This window comes from Homo sapiens, chromosome 9, assembly GCF_000001405.40.
Source record: "Homo sapiens chromosome 9, GRCh38.p14 Primary Assembly".
Lineage (NCBI taxonomy): Eukaryota > Metazoa > Chordata > Mammalia > Primates > Hominidae > Homo > Homo sapiens.
The window spans coordinates 90,175,436-90,176,443 of NC_000009.12; the positions used below are offsets into that span (position 1 = coordinate 90,175,436).

General features: G+C 44.0%; 1 annotated feature.

The window, feature by feature from the left end:
- Window positions 568–627: a silencer, noted in NCBI's record as "silent region_20020". NCBI's record gives its function as "represses an Ori minimal core promoter by ATAC-STARR-seq in GM12878 lymphoblastoid cells {active_cell/tissue: GM12878}" and the evidence as "EXISTENCE:reporter gene assay evidence [ECO:0000049][PMID:35858748]".

Sequence of the window (1,008 nt, forward strand, 5' to 3'; positions counted from 1 at the left end):
AGGGATTGCGTGTATCTGGAGGGTGGGAGTTGGGAGTATCTGGGGGTTGGGGAGATGGGTGGGTCTGGTGGGTAGGGGCGGATGAGTGTGGGTGGGTAAACAGTGCAGAGACTCTGGGCTCAGAATCCCAGGCTTAGAAAGGAAAGAAACCTTGCCTTGAGTGGGGGAAATACTCCTCAGGACCAGTCAGGCTTGTGGCTGAAGCTCTTCTGGAATGTGAGGCCTCATTGGCAAGAGATTAAGACTGTGTTCTCTCTCTCTTAACAATTTTTCTGCTTGTATTCTGCCTCCACCTTCCCGCTCTATTCTCTTTCCAGGATTTTAAGGACAAACGCAGAGTGTGTATAAGCTTAATTCTCCAATGAGATATTAAAATACGATTTATAAATTGGGTGCAACCAATAGTTTGTTGCCTTGGAGATGCTCCCATGAAAATAAATAGAACCTGAAACCATCAGTATAGCTTGGCTTTTCTTTTTAGAAAAATGTAACTCAAAATCCAGATCATGTAGCTGGGGGCAGATTCTGCTGTTAGTCTCCTAAGATTGGCTTGGGGGTTTTCTGGTCATGTGGTGGGTGGTGAATGTGGGCGTCCCTTGCAGGTGAGGAGGATGTGAGAAGCTGTTCTCTCTAGAGGTTGCATTGGTCCCATGAGCAGTTATGAGTGCTGGTCTGCTTTGCCACAGCTACCTGCTCATTCTCTGGCACAGTCGTGTGTGATGTGTATTCAGCGTATGTTCTGTTGTTGAGGCCAGTGTGGGCTGGTTCGGGGAAGCACCCAGGAATGGGACTGAACTCCTGCATTTGACTAAGTGCAATCTTGTCAGTCTTGTGGAAAACCCAAGCACAGGTAACTTATTTGAAGTTTTGTTCACATAAAAAGAATCTGCAATGTTTTCTGTTTATATCTTATTTGACTTAGTTTATTTTGATTTAATAAACTGAGCTATAATTAAATGTAAAACATTTATGAGTTACAAAAGTATATGGTATGCTCACCTTTCTTCA